Below are 16,553 nucleotides of genomic sequence, written 5' to 3'. Positions count from 1 at the left end.
TGGGTCCCTAACTTATCCATCCTCTGAATACAAATAATGTCTCCATGACTTAAATTATGAATAATATACATTTTTAACCATGAATGTAACACATTACTTTATAAAAATCAAACAACACAGAAATGAATTAAAAAAAGTGATTACCCACCTCCACTCCCTATTTCTTAGGTATCCATAGTGTATGAAATTCCAGAATGTCTTTCACAAACATATCTATGTATATGCATCTATAGGCACATTTAAAATTTTTGTTTTATAAACATTGAGATCAGAATATACTTACTGTGTGGTAACCTGTTTTTTAAATCTTAAATTTAGCCACATATGAAGATTAAATTAATTTTTTAACAGCTAAATATTCCATCTATCATCTTTTAAAAAATCATTTCCATGTTTATAGATATTGAAATCATCTTCTGAATTATATTCTATAAAATGATTCCTGGTGAAAAGATTCTTGTAGGTCTCCCAATAACATTAATAATAATTTTTATACTTGATTAAAATCCATACTTGACTCAAAATCCAAGATACACACATATACAGTAAGAAATAAGTCTCCCTCCCACTCCTATTTCCTAGCCACTCAGCTTTTAAAGAGTTCTTCTGGGGATTATTTAGTGTGTATATATGTATACAAAATTTCTCTGCACATAAGCTACCATAATCTATACACTCCTATGTGCCTTGCTTTTTAACTTAATAATAGACCAATTGGTTTAAACCGCCTATGCCTTTTTTCTTTCTATTATGAAGTGTTCCATTATATGTCTATAGTGTAATTTATTTAACCCATTACATATTAAATAGTTCCTTATTAATTTTTTTTCCATCTTCTCTATTACCTTATACATATGCCATTTTCACAGATGACCATATGTCTGTAGCATCAGCTGTATGTGGAATCGGCGGGTCAAAAACTATATGCAATTTTGTTTTGGAAAATTTCAGATTTTAAACCTTTCGTATGGGGAAGTTGTAACTGTATACCTTTGTAACAGGAATGTATAAAAGCATTTTCCCTACAATTGTCCAGCACAATTTCTCTCTTTCTCTTTCTCTCTCCCTCTCTTTTTATCACGTCCAAACTGAGAGATTAAAAAATGATACCTCGTTATGATTTTGTTTTCTATATTTTAAAATTATCAGTGAGGCTGAAAAATAATTCATGTGTTTTAGAACCATTTGTATTATCTTTTCTATTTATATATATGTATATATATTTTTTCCTTTTCTTCCCAATTTGATTCTTGGACATTTCTTGGACATTGAAGAGTCACGTAAACTCTTAACATACAAGGCCTTTTACTGGTGATATTAATTGCAAATTCACCTACCCCGCCCCCTTCAAGCAAAATTTGTCATGTACCATTTGGCTTTGTGATTATTTTGCAATGAAAAAAGTTTTCATTTTTATCTAGTAGAATTTATCATCTATTTTTAGTGGTTTCTGAGTTTTGTTTGATATTTAATTTCCTCTTCCAATTTGTTTTTAAAAATCACTTAATCTTTTTAGTACTTCTATGGCTTAGTTTTTTCTCCTTTAGTTCTCACATATGTCTGAAAACTATTTGGTTTATTTTTACATACCAAGTTTTAAATCTACTTATACTGATTTAATGCTCAACTTACATTCCACAAACTCCTATTTACCAGATTCGATTGTATCAGCCATTCCATTAGTCTCCCTTGGTTGTTTTTTTGGATATTCCCAAAGGGTTATTTCACAAACTATCTGATATGAGAGAGAATAATTCCTTGGTTATAATTGTGGCTTCTGAAGTCAGATAGACTTTGATTTCAATTATGACTCTGTTTACTAGCTGTGGCACCTTCAGGAAATGTCAGTAGAAGCTAATGACCATAGTAGTGGTAATGTCGCCATTGTAAGGTTGCTGTGAGGATTAAATGAGATGATCCATGCTAAATGCCTGGTATATAGTAAGTAAGTGGTAATGTTAGCTGTTATCTTCCTCATCATTATTATTAACGTTGTTTTTGTTAATAATAATACTGTTGTTGTTATTAATTGCCGGTAGAGTCTCAATGAGATAGCTTTCTCTGCTGATCTGGAGAGGATTTCAGTGATGTCAAAGGTGCAGTTAGTGCCCAGGCAAGGTGGCTCACACCTGTAATCTTAGCACGTTGGGAGGCCGCCTCCTTGGGGGGTGGATCTCTTGAGCCCAGGAGTTAGAGACCAGCCTGGACAATATGGCAAAATGCTGTCTAAAAAAGAAAGGTGCACTTAGTGGGAATGTTATTGTCTAAGGTGTTGTCTCTAGTCACGCCATACTACAAAAGCCACAGCATTTTAGAGCTGGTTAGGACCTGTTCGCTAATTGTGCATTGCACATTATCATTTGATTTTCAAGGGTCCTGCTTATGCCCAGTGTCCACGAAGCTTTTCAAGAAGGCTGCAGACTCACATCCATCTAATTGTGAGATCCAAATCCAGGCCAGCAGGCCTGGTGGGTAACGGTATAGAAAATAAAGGAGAATATATTTATAACCATGAGGTAGGTAAAACCTTCCTGGGAATTCAAAAATTCTGAAGTTATAAAAGAAAGCTTCAACAGATTTTAATATTTAAAAATTCAGAATATTTCCGTGCAATTGATGTCAAAGAACAAAGTTAAAAGAGAATTGTCAACCTGGTAAAAAATTTTGCAACATATATACATAAAAAGATAACAACTTTAATATCTAAGGATTTCATGCAAATTAAGAAGAAAAAGACAACCTAATAGAAATTCAAAGAATTACAAATGGCTAATAAATAATGTGAAAATGTTTAAATGCAAATTAAAACAGAGATATGTTTTTGGCCTTCAGATAGATAGGCAAATACTTTAAATATTTATAATAGCCAAGAGCATGGGGAATTAGGTATTCATACATTGCAGGTAGAATGCAATTTGGGAGTAAGTAAAAAATTAATAATATATGTATACTTTGAACTGACAGATGTTACTCTTAGATATCTCTTCTACATACTCCTGTGTGTGCATTAAGATATATGACTGAGGGAATTAATTGCAACATCATAAAGAAGAAGAAACAATCTAAATATTCATCCATAGAGGAGTGGTTGATTTGGAATGCTATATAATGGTTAAAAAGCATGTAGTAAATTCTGATATGACAAGATTTCCCAAGCATATTATTATGTAAAAAAGCAAGTTGCAAAACAAAATGTATGTGATGAGGAATGTATAGTGTGATAGTATCATAAGTGATGAGAAATCCTCCAGACAAAAGTACATGTCATATATATATAAACATAGAAAAATGTCTGGAAAAACACACAACTAAGTGTTAATTTAGAATGCTAATAAGGAGAGTGGAAGAGTGAGGAGGGCAGGGCAGTGGGGAGGTAAAAGAATATGGGAGATGTTCACTTTTTATTCTCTGTACCTCTTTGTTGTTAAAAAAAAGTTTATAACTAGAACGTATTCATGTGTGCTTCCGTAAATAAACTGGAAAAAAGATACCATGGTTAACCTTACATAATACTGTTTGCTGTGATGTGTAATGGAGTGATTGCTTCTAAAATTTAGCCTAGGATAATTTATATTTTCAGAATACAATTGGAGAATCAATTGTGAAATTACAAATACTCAGGGCATGTAACAGGATTGTTCACAAACCACCAAATATAGATGCTGGTTTTGCTGCAGCACGTTTTAAGATAATGCCTAGCTCCTCATTAGAGTGGGACACATGGGTTATAATGAGGTGATTTTTGCCGACAAACTGCACCCAGCCCCATCATACTAAATTCTGCTCTGCAGCAAATAGTGTCACATTCTGGAATGGACTTTCTCTCTCTGCTGTAATCCTACGGAGCTTTTGCTCTTTAACATGTAAGAAAAACGGTGGCAGTATAAAGTTTCCCTGCTGTCATTGAAATTGTGAAACGGACTTACAGTTGTTTGGCAAAGCCCTTGCTCAAGGACCTTGTTAATCTTCCTTCTTGAAATTTCGTGAGAAAGAGATTGATGCCCTAATATCACTAAATTTTCTGTCTCTTAGACTGGCCCTTTGGGTCTGTCATTTGTTTTCCTGTTTTTGACAACTATTTGTATAAGCAAACGACAGTGCAAACACGATGGTAAACATCAGTGATATTCATCTGCAGTGTCAGGGAGGCATCAGAGAATGAAGAGGACTGTGACAAAATGGTAAGTGCATGCCCCATCCAAAGAAGGCAGCTCTGTTCAGCTCCAGTTTTTCGTTATCATGTTGGGACAGAGCCCAGTGTTGTAGATTTTCTAATTTTTAAAGAGCAGCAAATTAAAAATTTCTTGATTTTATATAATTTCCCCTCAATTTTTAAATATTGGATAGTGTAAATATAAAATATAAAAATAACTTAGTCAACCCTATAAAACTTATGCGAAAACCAAATGGTGGGCACCATTTTGCAACCTGTAAAAGTTATTAAAAATACAGAATCTCAGGCCCCACTCAAAAGTACTAAATTCAAAACAATATTTTTCACAAGCTTCCCCAATGTCTGTATACAGTTAGCTCAACCACAGCTTCCGGCTAGCTTTCAATCAGCTATTATTGGGATGGTAGATGGGATCTATCTGAAAGGCAAATTCCCATCCTTTAATGGTGGCTGCCTGGAACACTGATTTGAGGAGGACTGTCAGACTGTTCCCCAGGTTGAGGGGAAAAAAACAATTGGTGATCTTTTAGTAATGTCTATCTTGGGCACAGGCAAGTGGATAGAGTGGATAGAGGTGATACAGGTGCAGTTTCTGTTCTGATCTATGCATAGATCCATAGTGTAGGATCTATGCTCAAATAATATTTGTGTCCCACCAAGATATGGTCCCACCTTCTTCCCTAAGAAGTTTGTGTGTGTGTGTTGAGAGAGAGAGAGAGAGAGAGAGAGAGAGAGAAGGCAGAGAGAGAGAGAGAGAGCATGCATGAAAAGTATGTTTGGAATCAGGACTCCGAACCATTACTTCTAGGTTTCTAAACTTGGACTTCTGGAAAGTTTTTGAGACTTGAATAACATAAATTGTCATCTAGTAGGTGTTGGTCTAATTAAAGTATTGGGCTAGGAAGAAAAACACTTTCTTTCCTGGGCTGTCAATCCCATTTCTAAGAAGATCTTTTTATTCCAATCTGTCCCCTGGCTATTCTACATTCCTCATTCAGGCTGTCTTGTCGGTCACAATTTTGGGGAGAAGTGGCATGTCTGGGAATATCTATGTGCATAGTTCAAAATAGTTTGTCACTGTTTGCATCAATTAAGATGCTTTTGATTGAAAGCAAGCAGATTAAACTATATAGTTATGTACTATTTATTGCAGGAAACTAGAGGTGGGCACTCTCAGTGTTGGTTTGGTAGATCAACATTGTCATAAAGAACCAAGGTTTTTCTTTTCTTTTTCTTCTGCCATGCTCAGTGGGTCAGCATGGTCTCTCCTTACGGTCTCAGAATGACTGCCCTGCTCTAAACATTACTTCCTCATGAGAGTGTCCCTGGCAGGAAGGCAGAGAGCGGGGGCAAAGAGAACCTTTCTCCTTGAGCACTAGTCTCATATCAGGGACCTAAGACTAACCCTGAAGCCTTAGCTGCCCTCCCCTTATATATCATTGGACAAAACTGTGTCGTAAGCCTAACCATTGGCAAAAGGGAATGAATTGGACCAATGACAGTTTACTCCATGGAGCTGAATGCATTGTAACCAACACATCAGAAAGGAGAGGGTAGTGAGTGTTGAGGAAATAACCAACAGTGTGTGCTACATCATATCTAGAAATCAATTCAAAGAACAGGTCCTAGTGCTAGGATGTTGAGTGCCATCTCACACCAAGGATGGCATTTCTTTTTTTTCTTTTTTTTTTCTTTTATTATTATACTTTAAGTTTTAGGGTACATGTGCACATTGTGCAGGTTAGTTACATATGTATACATGTGCCACGCTGGTGCGCTGCACCCACTAACTCGTCATCTAGCATCAGGTATATCTCCCAAAGCTATCCCTCCCCCCTCCCCCGACCACACAACAGTCCCCAGAGTGTGATGTTCCCCTTCCTGTGTCCATGTGATCTCATTGTTCAATTCCCACCTATGAATGAGAATATGCGGTGTTTGGTTTTTTGTTCTTGCGATAGTTTACTGAGAATGATGATTTCCAATTTCATCCATGTCCCTACAAAGGACATGAACTCATCATTTTTTATGGCTGCATAGTATTCCATGGTGTATATGTGCCACATTTTCTTAATCCAGTCTATCATTGTTGGACATTTGGGTTGGTTCCAAGTCTTTGCTATTGTGAATAGTGCCGCAATAAACATACGTGTGCATGTGTCTTTATAGCAGCATGATTTATAGTCCTTTGGATGGCATTTCTAAAGATTAGAGATTCATGTTCATAAACAACTTGGAGCATAGAAGATGCACAGGAGTGATAACTACTGTGAATTCAGTTGTGGTGTTAAGACATATTCTATTTAAAGACTGCTCTAGTATCTGTGCACAAATGGGATGTATTTTGAAAAATTTCCATTATTTCAGGCCATTAACTGGTGCCAGTTAATAAAGAGATTTTAGTTAATAAGTAGGATTATTATTATACCAAGATATTCAATAAATTCTAGTTCTTCTCAAACCTGGCTATGATTCTGAGTCACATGGGCTTTAGAAATTCCAAGGGGCTACAGATGGATGAATAGCACAAATATGAAAAATGGAATGGCCCAAGGTATTTGTAATTTGAACAATAAAAAAGCTAAGAGACATTTAGTGACCTATACAGCTTAGAGTAACAGTATATAAAATAAACATGCATGCCCCAAGCACATTGATGTTCTTAAATGGTGAATGAGGTGTGGTCAGATGTAAGTAGAAACCTTCATTAAAAAATAGAGAAAACCAACTTGTGTTTGCCTCTATCCAGTGGTTTTTAACCTTCTGGGTTTAAAAGCCTCATTGAGAATTTGAACAAGGTTATGGAATGCTTCCCAGAGAGATGCACATTTGCATATTTACAACATGCTTTGAATATTAATAACTTCTTCTCTAATGTTCTTGGTCCTATTAGAAAAACTAAAGCAGCATCACTAATAACTAACAATAGATACCATTAATTGAGTTCTTACAAGTATTCCAGGTCCAGATTCCACCCAGATTTACTGAACTAGAAGCTTGAAGAGCTCAGAATACATAATTTTGTAAAGTTCCTTCATTGTTTCTGATGTAATTAATTGGCTCCTTCTTGATTAGGCAGAGAAGCAAGGGCTTTAGAGTCAGACAAACTTGAGTTAAAAATTGAAACTCTGCACTCGCTGAGCAAGGGCAAGTCACCCAAATCCTCTGGCCCTTAGTTTATATCACCTGTGAGATGGGAAGGATAACTATCCTCAGGAAAATGTGGTAGAGGTAAAATGAGATAATGTATGACAGCATCATAGCATGCCACTAACATATGGTGTGTCTTATATTTATTCTTTATCATAGGCACTCATAAGAGGTTTGACTTATCTGCAGTGAGGAGATTGTCCAAATATTAAATATATGTTTAATTAAATTATTTGAGTTATTTTAATTAAATTATTTGATTATTTTAATTAAATTACTTGAGCTAAAAAATTCATGGCTATAATATTTACATTGTGTTAAAAACAGAAATTATGACACTGAAACAAAGAAAAAAATAGTAATGGCGTTATCCTGAGATGGCTGTTATTGGAGCGACATAATGTGTAAACACATTAGCAAAGGAAAGCTTCAGTAAATAAAGCTCACTGACCTCTAGATCCTCAATTCTCATCTTGATTCTAACCCTAATTTTGTAAGGCCTTAGAAAAGTTTTCAATTCCTAAAGATTTACGATGTTCATGTCAAAAGGCTACCTTCTTAGCTGTGTGGAGGGAGACTCACGCAAGTGTCCAAAATGGTTCTGAATTGGGAAAAGAGTAAAAGAAACCATGCTGTATGTTCAATAACAAACCAAATAGAATCTTTATGATGCAATGAACACTGTAAAGAAGAGTAAAGATTTGAAGATTTACTCTGGTTGTCTGCTGAACTACAACAAAAAAGAATATTCTTATTGCAAATGCCAGCTTTAAAAAGGACAAAAATGGGGAGTCAGGGTTAGGCCAAAATAAGGTCAATAAAGGTGTGGGGAAAAATAACTCAGGGAATAGGAAAGGAGAGACAGCAGACAAGAACAGAGGACGCATTGGTGACTACTGGCAATTTTGGAGGGATTTTAAAGTAATTTTGCATGGCTCAGTAACTTACCTGGGAGATTTTCTATCATTTCTAATATTAACAAATCTTTGACTCAACCAAGGACATAAGGGGTGAGTAAGGAGCATTAAAATCAACAACAGAGTGTCCAGAAATGGAATCAGAACAATAAACGCTTAGGGCCATTAACAGCCAGTGAAGCCACTATTATTTCTTAGGGGAACCACATAGAAGATATATGCGTGCCCTGAGCACATGAGTGTTCTCTCTAAATTGAGACTGGGGAACAGTGGCTATGAGTCAGTACCTTCACGAAGAACAGAGCCAACTTATGTTTGCCTCTTTTCACTGTGTCTTTACATTTTTTAATCATGGGGCCTCATTGAAAATCAGAAAGAGATTATACATATTCTTCCTAGAGAAGTAGTTTATATTTACATATACATATATGCACAGTGTTTTGTGAATTGATCACCCCTTCTCTAATGTTCTTGGTCATGTAGGGAAATGGAAACTGCATAACTAATAGCCAGTAACAATAGCTTCAATTAATTATGAATTCATAAAGCTGACAGTAACTAATAGCTACTATTAAGTCCTTACTGTGTTAAAGACATTATGCAAAGCCCTTCATATGCATTATCTCATTGAATCCTCACTTCTACCCTATGAGATAAACAATATTATTGACCCTCATTTTAAGGATGAGAAAACTGAGGCTTAGAGAAGTTAAGTAGCTTGCTCTACTGCTAGCAAGTGGCAAAACCCAAAATCAGACTGAGATCTGTTTGATGCCTAGCATATACTCTCAAGTACTCCCTTATGCTACTTCTAAATTACTTTTTATAGACACTTGACATCACATGTTTCAACCTGGGCTTTAAGGGATTTGTGAATCATCTGCATTTATATGCTATGTTCTATATGTGTGTATGAGTGTGTTTTTGGGGGTCCATAGCTTTCATCGGATTCCCTTAGAAGATCTCATTTAAAACAGCAAAGAATCAGTCATCTAGCTCTTCTGGGGTTTAGCTCAGAATTAAGTTAGTCGTTTACACAGTCACATCATTGGGTCACACTGAGTCTCTTCCTTCCACTCCTCTCACCTCACAGAATTGCTATTATTAAGTTGTTATGGAATCAAGTTTAAGTCTGGAATTAAGAAACTCTCCAGAAAAAGGTATACAAAATATACTACTGTATTTACTTCAGGAACATTTTTGAGTATGTTTCTTACCGTATCTTTCAGTGTCTTCAAAACAAAATTCCAAGTAATAAATTGTGTTTAGGAGAAAAAAAATCCTTATGCATAATAAAGAATACAATGGTGTTTCTCTTTACTCAAAAGCCAAAATTTCAGACTCAAATCTGCAATCCAACTTTAGTACCTATGTAGGAGTCTTTGGCCTACATGTTGCATTTTCACTTCCCCCTCAGTCATAACCATCTACTCCAATTTGTATTTTCCTTTTTCTGAATATACATACTTATATTTTATTCCATGTATTCTTATAAAGCATCTCAAATGCTTTGTGGAACAAACAGAAATACAATTAAAAATTTAACTTTTTCTCCATCTTTCTCTTCTACCATGCCATGCTTCAAAAGAGGCAGAGCTTTTCAAATTTGCAGAAATTTGTTCTTTAATACCTTAACCTTCAATGACGCAAGGAAACAATCCCCAGTTAGGACAATATAACAGACTAAAATAATATCTTCAATCACCGCTACTTTTCTTGCTGATTATTTAACTAATAGAGGAACGTATCTTGCTTCCCTCCTCCCGGACAAATACTTTTCTCAAGGAAAAATAGATTTATTTCTTTCATGATTGGATTTTCTAGGAAATAGCTGTATTGTAGCTATTTTGTGTTGTGAATAGAATGAAAGTCATATGCTTTAAACTCCAGCATTAAAGGGACGGACTTCCCTTTCAGTTGTGTACCCTTGAGTACATGAAATTGAAGTCTATCTCAGTGAAAAAATCAACACACTGGCACAGGTGTTGGCCAATACAGTGGTATCTACACATAGAGTCAACATTTTTCTTAGGAAAGAATTTTAAATTGTGTTACGCAGTTACCATAAGTAATTGGTTAAGAGTCTAAACCATGGTGCCATAGCAAGAGTCTTGGTAATGTTTTAAGTCAGGTTGAACCAATTGTGAGCTTTGCTAGAAGACTACGAAAAATCAGGGAGCACTTCAAGACAGTTTCATTGAATGTCTAGTCTAAAAACATGTATCCAGAAAATCTTACCCATAAGCTTGGCTTTAATTACCTTCTGTATAAGAGAACTCTCAAATTTTTACTTCCAGCCACATCCAATCCTCTAAGCCCTAGATCTATATAGCTACCTACTGACTTAGCTCTACTTGGCATCTACAGCCATTTCAAACTTAAGGTCGGAAAAGGAGTTTGTACACATCCAACCTGACCCTTCTCAGAGTTCCCTCTTGAGTGAATGGCATCTTTGTCCACCTAGTGCAGACATTAGAATCCTGGGGGATACCTTGAATCATTCTACTCGATTCCTACCTCCTCCTCCTCCCTTAACATAATTCTATTTTCTCCATCACCCCTGCTTATACTGGTTTCTGTTAACATCTTTTTTCTTTTCCCAGATGACTGCATAATCCTCCCAGCTAGTGGCCTAGATTTCACTCTTGCCTAGCCACAGCCCACTCTCCATACAGAAGCTAGAGTGACATTTTTAACATTTCCATCTAATTATATCATCTCCTTGCTTGAAATTCTTCAATGACTTCCCATTACTTTAAAAATTAAGACTCAAATCCTTAACATGGCCTAAAAGCTGCCTGCCTGATCTGAATACTTTTTTGGAGTCATCTCTAGCACTTTTCATATCTTGCTACATTGGCCTTATTTAGCTTCCTCTAAAACCAACTGCCTTCTTTCCTTGAGTCATTTACACACACACACACACACACACACACACACACACACAGACACACACACACACACTCCTGATGCCTAATGTCTGTTCTACTGTCAGGATATGTTTGACTCACTCCCTAAGAAAAATCTTTCATGCCATCTCTGACAGATTCAGCCCATTATGGTTTTTATAGTACCCTGTATTTGCTCTTTGTAATACTTATTGTAATTTAATAAATTGTGTAACTACTTGTTTAAGATATTTCTCTTTTGTTTGACATAAATTCCATGAACAGGGAATGGCATCTCTCTTTTTCACTCTATGTACCCAGTGCCTGGCATATTGCATTTCACAGAGTAGGTGTTGAAAAAATTACTAAACGAATTAGGTAATAAAAGATGACCCATTCAAATTAGTTAGAAAATCCCACTGTAAATAGTTATATGATTTTACCTTGTGGAAATTATTAAAAATTAACTTTTAACTACTATGTAATTATAGGAAAACTAATTCTAAGCACAAATTTTAGTAAAAACCAGGAATTAAGAGGATGAACATTTATATTTATTGAGTACTTGCAATGTACAAGGCCTTTAAGTAATTCAAGGAATACTAATTCTAATGTAATTCTTATAATTATTCACTGTGAATTAATGGGAAAGTAAAAAGACCCAAGGAGTAAACTGACCATAGTTACACGGTTTTCACATGGTAGAGATGGCAATAATTACATAGTTTAACAAAAATAAGCCCACTCCCTTGAAACAGGACCAGAAATATCTCCTTCTGTATGACGGGGCTATGATAACACCTTCCATGTGGAAGGCATTCAAGAAATATGTCTGAAAAATTATGTCAATTTTTAAAAATTTTGTTAACAAAAGGGGACACTATGACCTAAATCTGTTCGATGTGTGTGTCAAGAAATGATTCTCTTCACACAGTAATATTTCTTCATTTATGGAATTAATGAAGAAAAGAAAGATATTAGCAATACTGTTTCAATATACTCTAAAGACGTATAAAGATCCTGAAAACTTACAATTTATGTAAGACTTTGAGACTTTATGGAAATAATCTTAATCAAATCAATACAGAAAATCATAATTTTTCTGTTTGCCTCTGTGCCGTGGCCCGTCAAATAGTTTGACCTCTGAAGTTTATGAAATAATATGGAAAATCATCTTTCTCCATTTCATTTTTCCTAAGGACATAAGAGTTTGACAGGTGTATCAGTGCTATAGCATATGTTCCAGGAGTTCCAGGACTTTGAAGAAGCAGATGACAACTGGTTGTGCAATTCTCAGCTCCTACCTTATTTTCTAGGTTTGGTCTCTTAAGGGACAGCTGCAGCAGGGTGATGGAACAGGCCACCTTCTTCAGGGGCAACTCATCTCTGGTGCTTTTGCATGCAAACTTGACTGTCAGTCATCCACAAAGACATAAATCTAGTGCTGCAATGGATTGGGTACTTTGCTACTGTGGGGATGGGGAGTGTCATAGTGGGGGCAGGGGGTGTGTATGTCTGAGCCTTCTTTGGTGCTCTTTTCTTTTATTCTGATATGGTTCTTCTGTGAAGTGGTAAGGCCACACATGTTGGGTGGGGGACAGTGAGGGGTCTCACTTGAGAGAGTTGGATATTTTTGGGTCCAATCATGTGGTGAAGAGGTGGATTCTTGGAAAAGAATGAGCATTTAGAAGGTGGGCTTTAAGAAGGCAAGAGGGAATGCCTCTTGCTCTCAGAAATTAGCCTCCCATTCATGTTAGAGGCTGCCTCTGCTGCCTGGGCCACAGGAGAATGAGCCTGGAGCAGGGGAGGAGATGTCTGTCTAGAAGAACACAAGATAAATCATGAGCAAATTATATTTTATGAACTATATTTCCTGGTTATGTGTTCCTATCTGGTTTTGTTTCCTTCTTTATTATCTGTGAGCTTTAAATGGAGTTTGTTGACATGTTCCAGCCCCGTGTTAACTTTAATACTAGGAATTTAGAATACAATTTTGTACCATATTGGAGCTGGAGTATTAGAGGGTGAACATTTTCTTCTACTTGTGGTCTCTCATGTCCCCACTCTGGGCTCATGTACTGGTGGCAGAATGAATTATTGAGAGGTCTATTTATCTACCTCTCCCCCACAGGACAATATTCTCTGCATTGAAACTTCAGAAGATATTATACTCAATTAAGGCAGATTCTGGTCTTCTTACAGGAATACCTTTAGCGTCTTCTTGACAGTGAGATTTCAAGTTTCTCCATAGACCTCAAATTTCTGTCTAATGGGATTGCTATTTCTTGAAAGTCTTTTAAGAATAAATTTTCATTCTTCAAAACAAGCTTACAGACACAATATACAAATAGCTGGCTATAGTAATAGCCTGACAGAATCTTGTTTATTGTGAAATATAATTGATCAACAATAAACATATGATTTCTGAACATTTCTTGTTCGCATGGGAGGAATGGGTGAGAGATCAGGAGGCCATTTTATGGGAGGAAGGAGTAAAAGAATATGGAATAAGAAAGGCTGGAAAGAATCAAAGATGGGCTAGCGTTACTTAACTTTTTTGCATGGGCTGAGGCATATTTTCTTTTAACTAGATTTGGGCCAACGGGCCCTGCCTCAAGTCCTTTGGCCTTGTGTAGCTGAGGTGTAGGGGATGATAAACTTTGAGCTAACTTGGCTTTGGTGGTGGATCAAGTATTGGGGAATGTTTCTCCCAAACCCAGCAGAGTTTCTTAAGAAAAACTTGATTCTCAGAGAATTAATGACTATAGGTATCAGAGTTATTTTACATCTCTATACAACAGACAAAGACAGGGGAGCAAGTAAATAATACACTCATCTTCCAAAATGTCAGAGTGTGCTGTATATAGTAGTTCATCATTTTAATGTAGGACTAATCTAAATAAAAATGGGTGGTTTGATAATGATTTATTATAAACTTATTAATTCCTAAGAGCAGAGACACATTTTGGGGCTCTTATTAGAAGAAAGGTATCCTTTTTGGCAGTAGAATGGGAAAAGCTATCGGGTCACATGATAATCAAACCAGATATTATTGGATTTGAATTTTTATTGAGATCTTTTAGCATCTTTCTCTTCATTCTCAAATTTGCACCTCTGGAACCTCAGGTGGTAGTGTTTTCTATCATTGTTGCTCTTTTTTTTTTCAGTTTCTTTTCCTACTAGGTTTCATATTTGTAATCTGTTTCATTTTTTACATTTTGTTTTGAAAAACATGGAGAACCAAGTTCCTGACGGACAACACAAAAACAAAAACAGGCAAATAGAAGAGAACAAACACAATTATGTGGTCCCTTTCATTTGGAAATGGGTCATTTATGGCAACCAATATCTGTACATAAACTCTTATCATCAGAAAAGGAAAACAGAGATCTAGCATTTTTCAAAGACGTTTATCAACCACATAACTAAATACTTGTAAATTTTAATTATATTTAGTATTCTTCTCTTTTTTCTCACATAAGCAATTAAGAACCTGTTCCTTGTATTCGTCCAATTTTTTAATTCAAAAAGGCTTTCCCATAATCTTACCTCATTATCAAATGTTTTGTGTGTGTGAAAATATGATTTTTCCCATTTTGCTGGATGTTAAAGGACCTTTAAGCCAAAAAAGGAGGTTTGCAATTTTTACCTGAAGGTAATATTAAGCCATGGAAGGTTTTATGTTTTTGTTTTTGTTTTTATTTTATTGAGACACGATATTTTACATATTTATGGGTGACATATGAGTGTTTGTTACATGTGTAGAATATGTAATGATCAACTTGGGAGTTTGGGGTACAAGGGTTTTTTTTTAAGTTGGTGTTCAGTGGCCTCAGGATCATGAACATCACCTTCATAACTCAACACGCTAAAGTGGATTGATGCTCATCATGTGCCAGATGCCCCTTGGCACTTGCATGCTATGCCATTTAATCTTAACGTCAAGCAGAGGAAGCAGCTACAAATATTACCTTCATTTTACAGATAAGGAAACTAGAATTTAGAGAGTTTAAATAATAAATAATGCCAGTGTTAGATCAGGCATTATATTTTAGATGGTTTTTAGTGATATGCTCACATTTGTGCTAGAAGAAGATATCTCTGGCTTATGGCTCTGGAATGGGTCAGAAGGGAGTGAGCCTTAGGAAAGTGAGAATTAGCTGGGTGTGGTGTTGCACGCCTCTGATCCCAGCTAACTGGGAGGCTGAGGCAGGGGCATCGCTTGAGCCCAGGAGGTCAAGGCAGTGAGCCCTGAGAGTGCCACTGCACTCCAGCCTGGGTAATAGAGCAAGACTCTTTTATGGAACTAGGCTGGTGGCCGTGAGGTGAAAAAAAGTGAAAAAACTGGAGAGACTTTTATAAAGACTAGAATCCATAGAAACTGCTGATTAACTGGATATGAGGGATGAGGGAGAGGAAAGTGATAAGGAGAAAAATAAGGTAATTGGCTTCTTTAGTGACAATTACTGAAATAAAAGAGACAGGAGGAGGAGCAGGTTTGGGGAGCAGAGTTCTGCTTGACACATGTTTGGTTTGACTACTTTTGGGCCATTTAGGTAGAGATAATAGGATATACAGATTTGCAGTTTAGAAGCAAGATCGAGGCTAGAGACAGAGATTTGGGCGTCTTAAGCACATTACAAAAATCAAAGCTGTAGTTGTGGGAGTGGAGGAGATCATCTAGGAAGAATGTATGGAAATGAGCTAGGGCAGTGGTTCACAAGATGTGGCCCAGATACCCCTGAGGGTGCTCAAGACCTTTTCGGGGTCCACAAAGTGAAAACTACTTCTGTAAGTAATACCAAGATGTTATTTGCCTTTTCCTCTCTTGGTCTCACACCAGTATACATTGAAATTTTTCAGAGGCTACATGATGTATAATCATGTCATTGATCTGAAGGTCAATGAAATATGTCTTTGCATATATTCCTGTGTTTTAAAAATTTCTCAATTTTAGTTTCTAATATAGCAAATATTTATAGATGTAACCCACTTAAACATAAACTCTTTGGGATCCTTAAAATTTCTGAAGTGTGAAAAGGGATAATGATATACAAAATTTGAGAACCTTTGTGCTAGAAAATTTTGCCTTGATTCCATAGGCAAGCGTGATCATCAAAGACTGGAGGGCGAGGAATAACATAATCAGAGTCATGCTAATAGAAAGTTGTCCTGATGGCAACCTCGAGGATACATTAAGATTGGGATAACGTGAAGATACAGAGTTGATTTAGTCGGTAATTACAATTCGGGTATGAAATTACTCCAGCTCCAACTATGGTAATAACAGCTAACATGATAATAGACAACAGAAAACAAAAATAAATGTGACTTGCTTATTGACAGAATATGAATTATTATTGAATAAATGAAAAGAGTAATAGATAACTGCATTTGGAGCAATGTGATTGGAAGAAAGATCTT

The sequence above is a fragment of the Homo sapiens genome, chromosome 2, assembly GCF_000001405.40.
Source record: "Homo sapiens chromosome 2, GRCh38.p14 Primary Assembly".
Lineage (NCBI taxonomy): Eukaryota > Metazoa > Chordata > Mammalia > Primates > Hominidae > Homo > Homo sapiens.
This window is presented reverse-complemented; position numbering follows the sequence as displayed.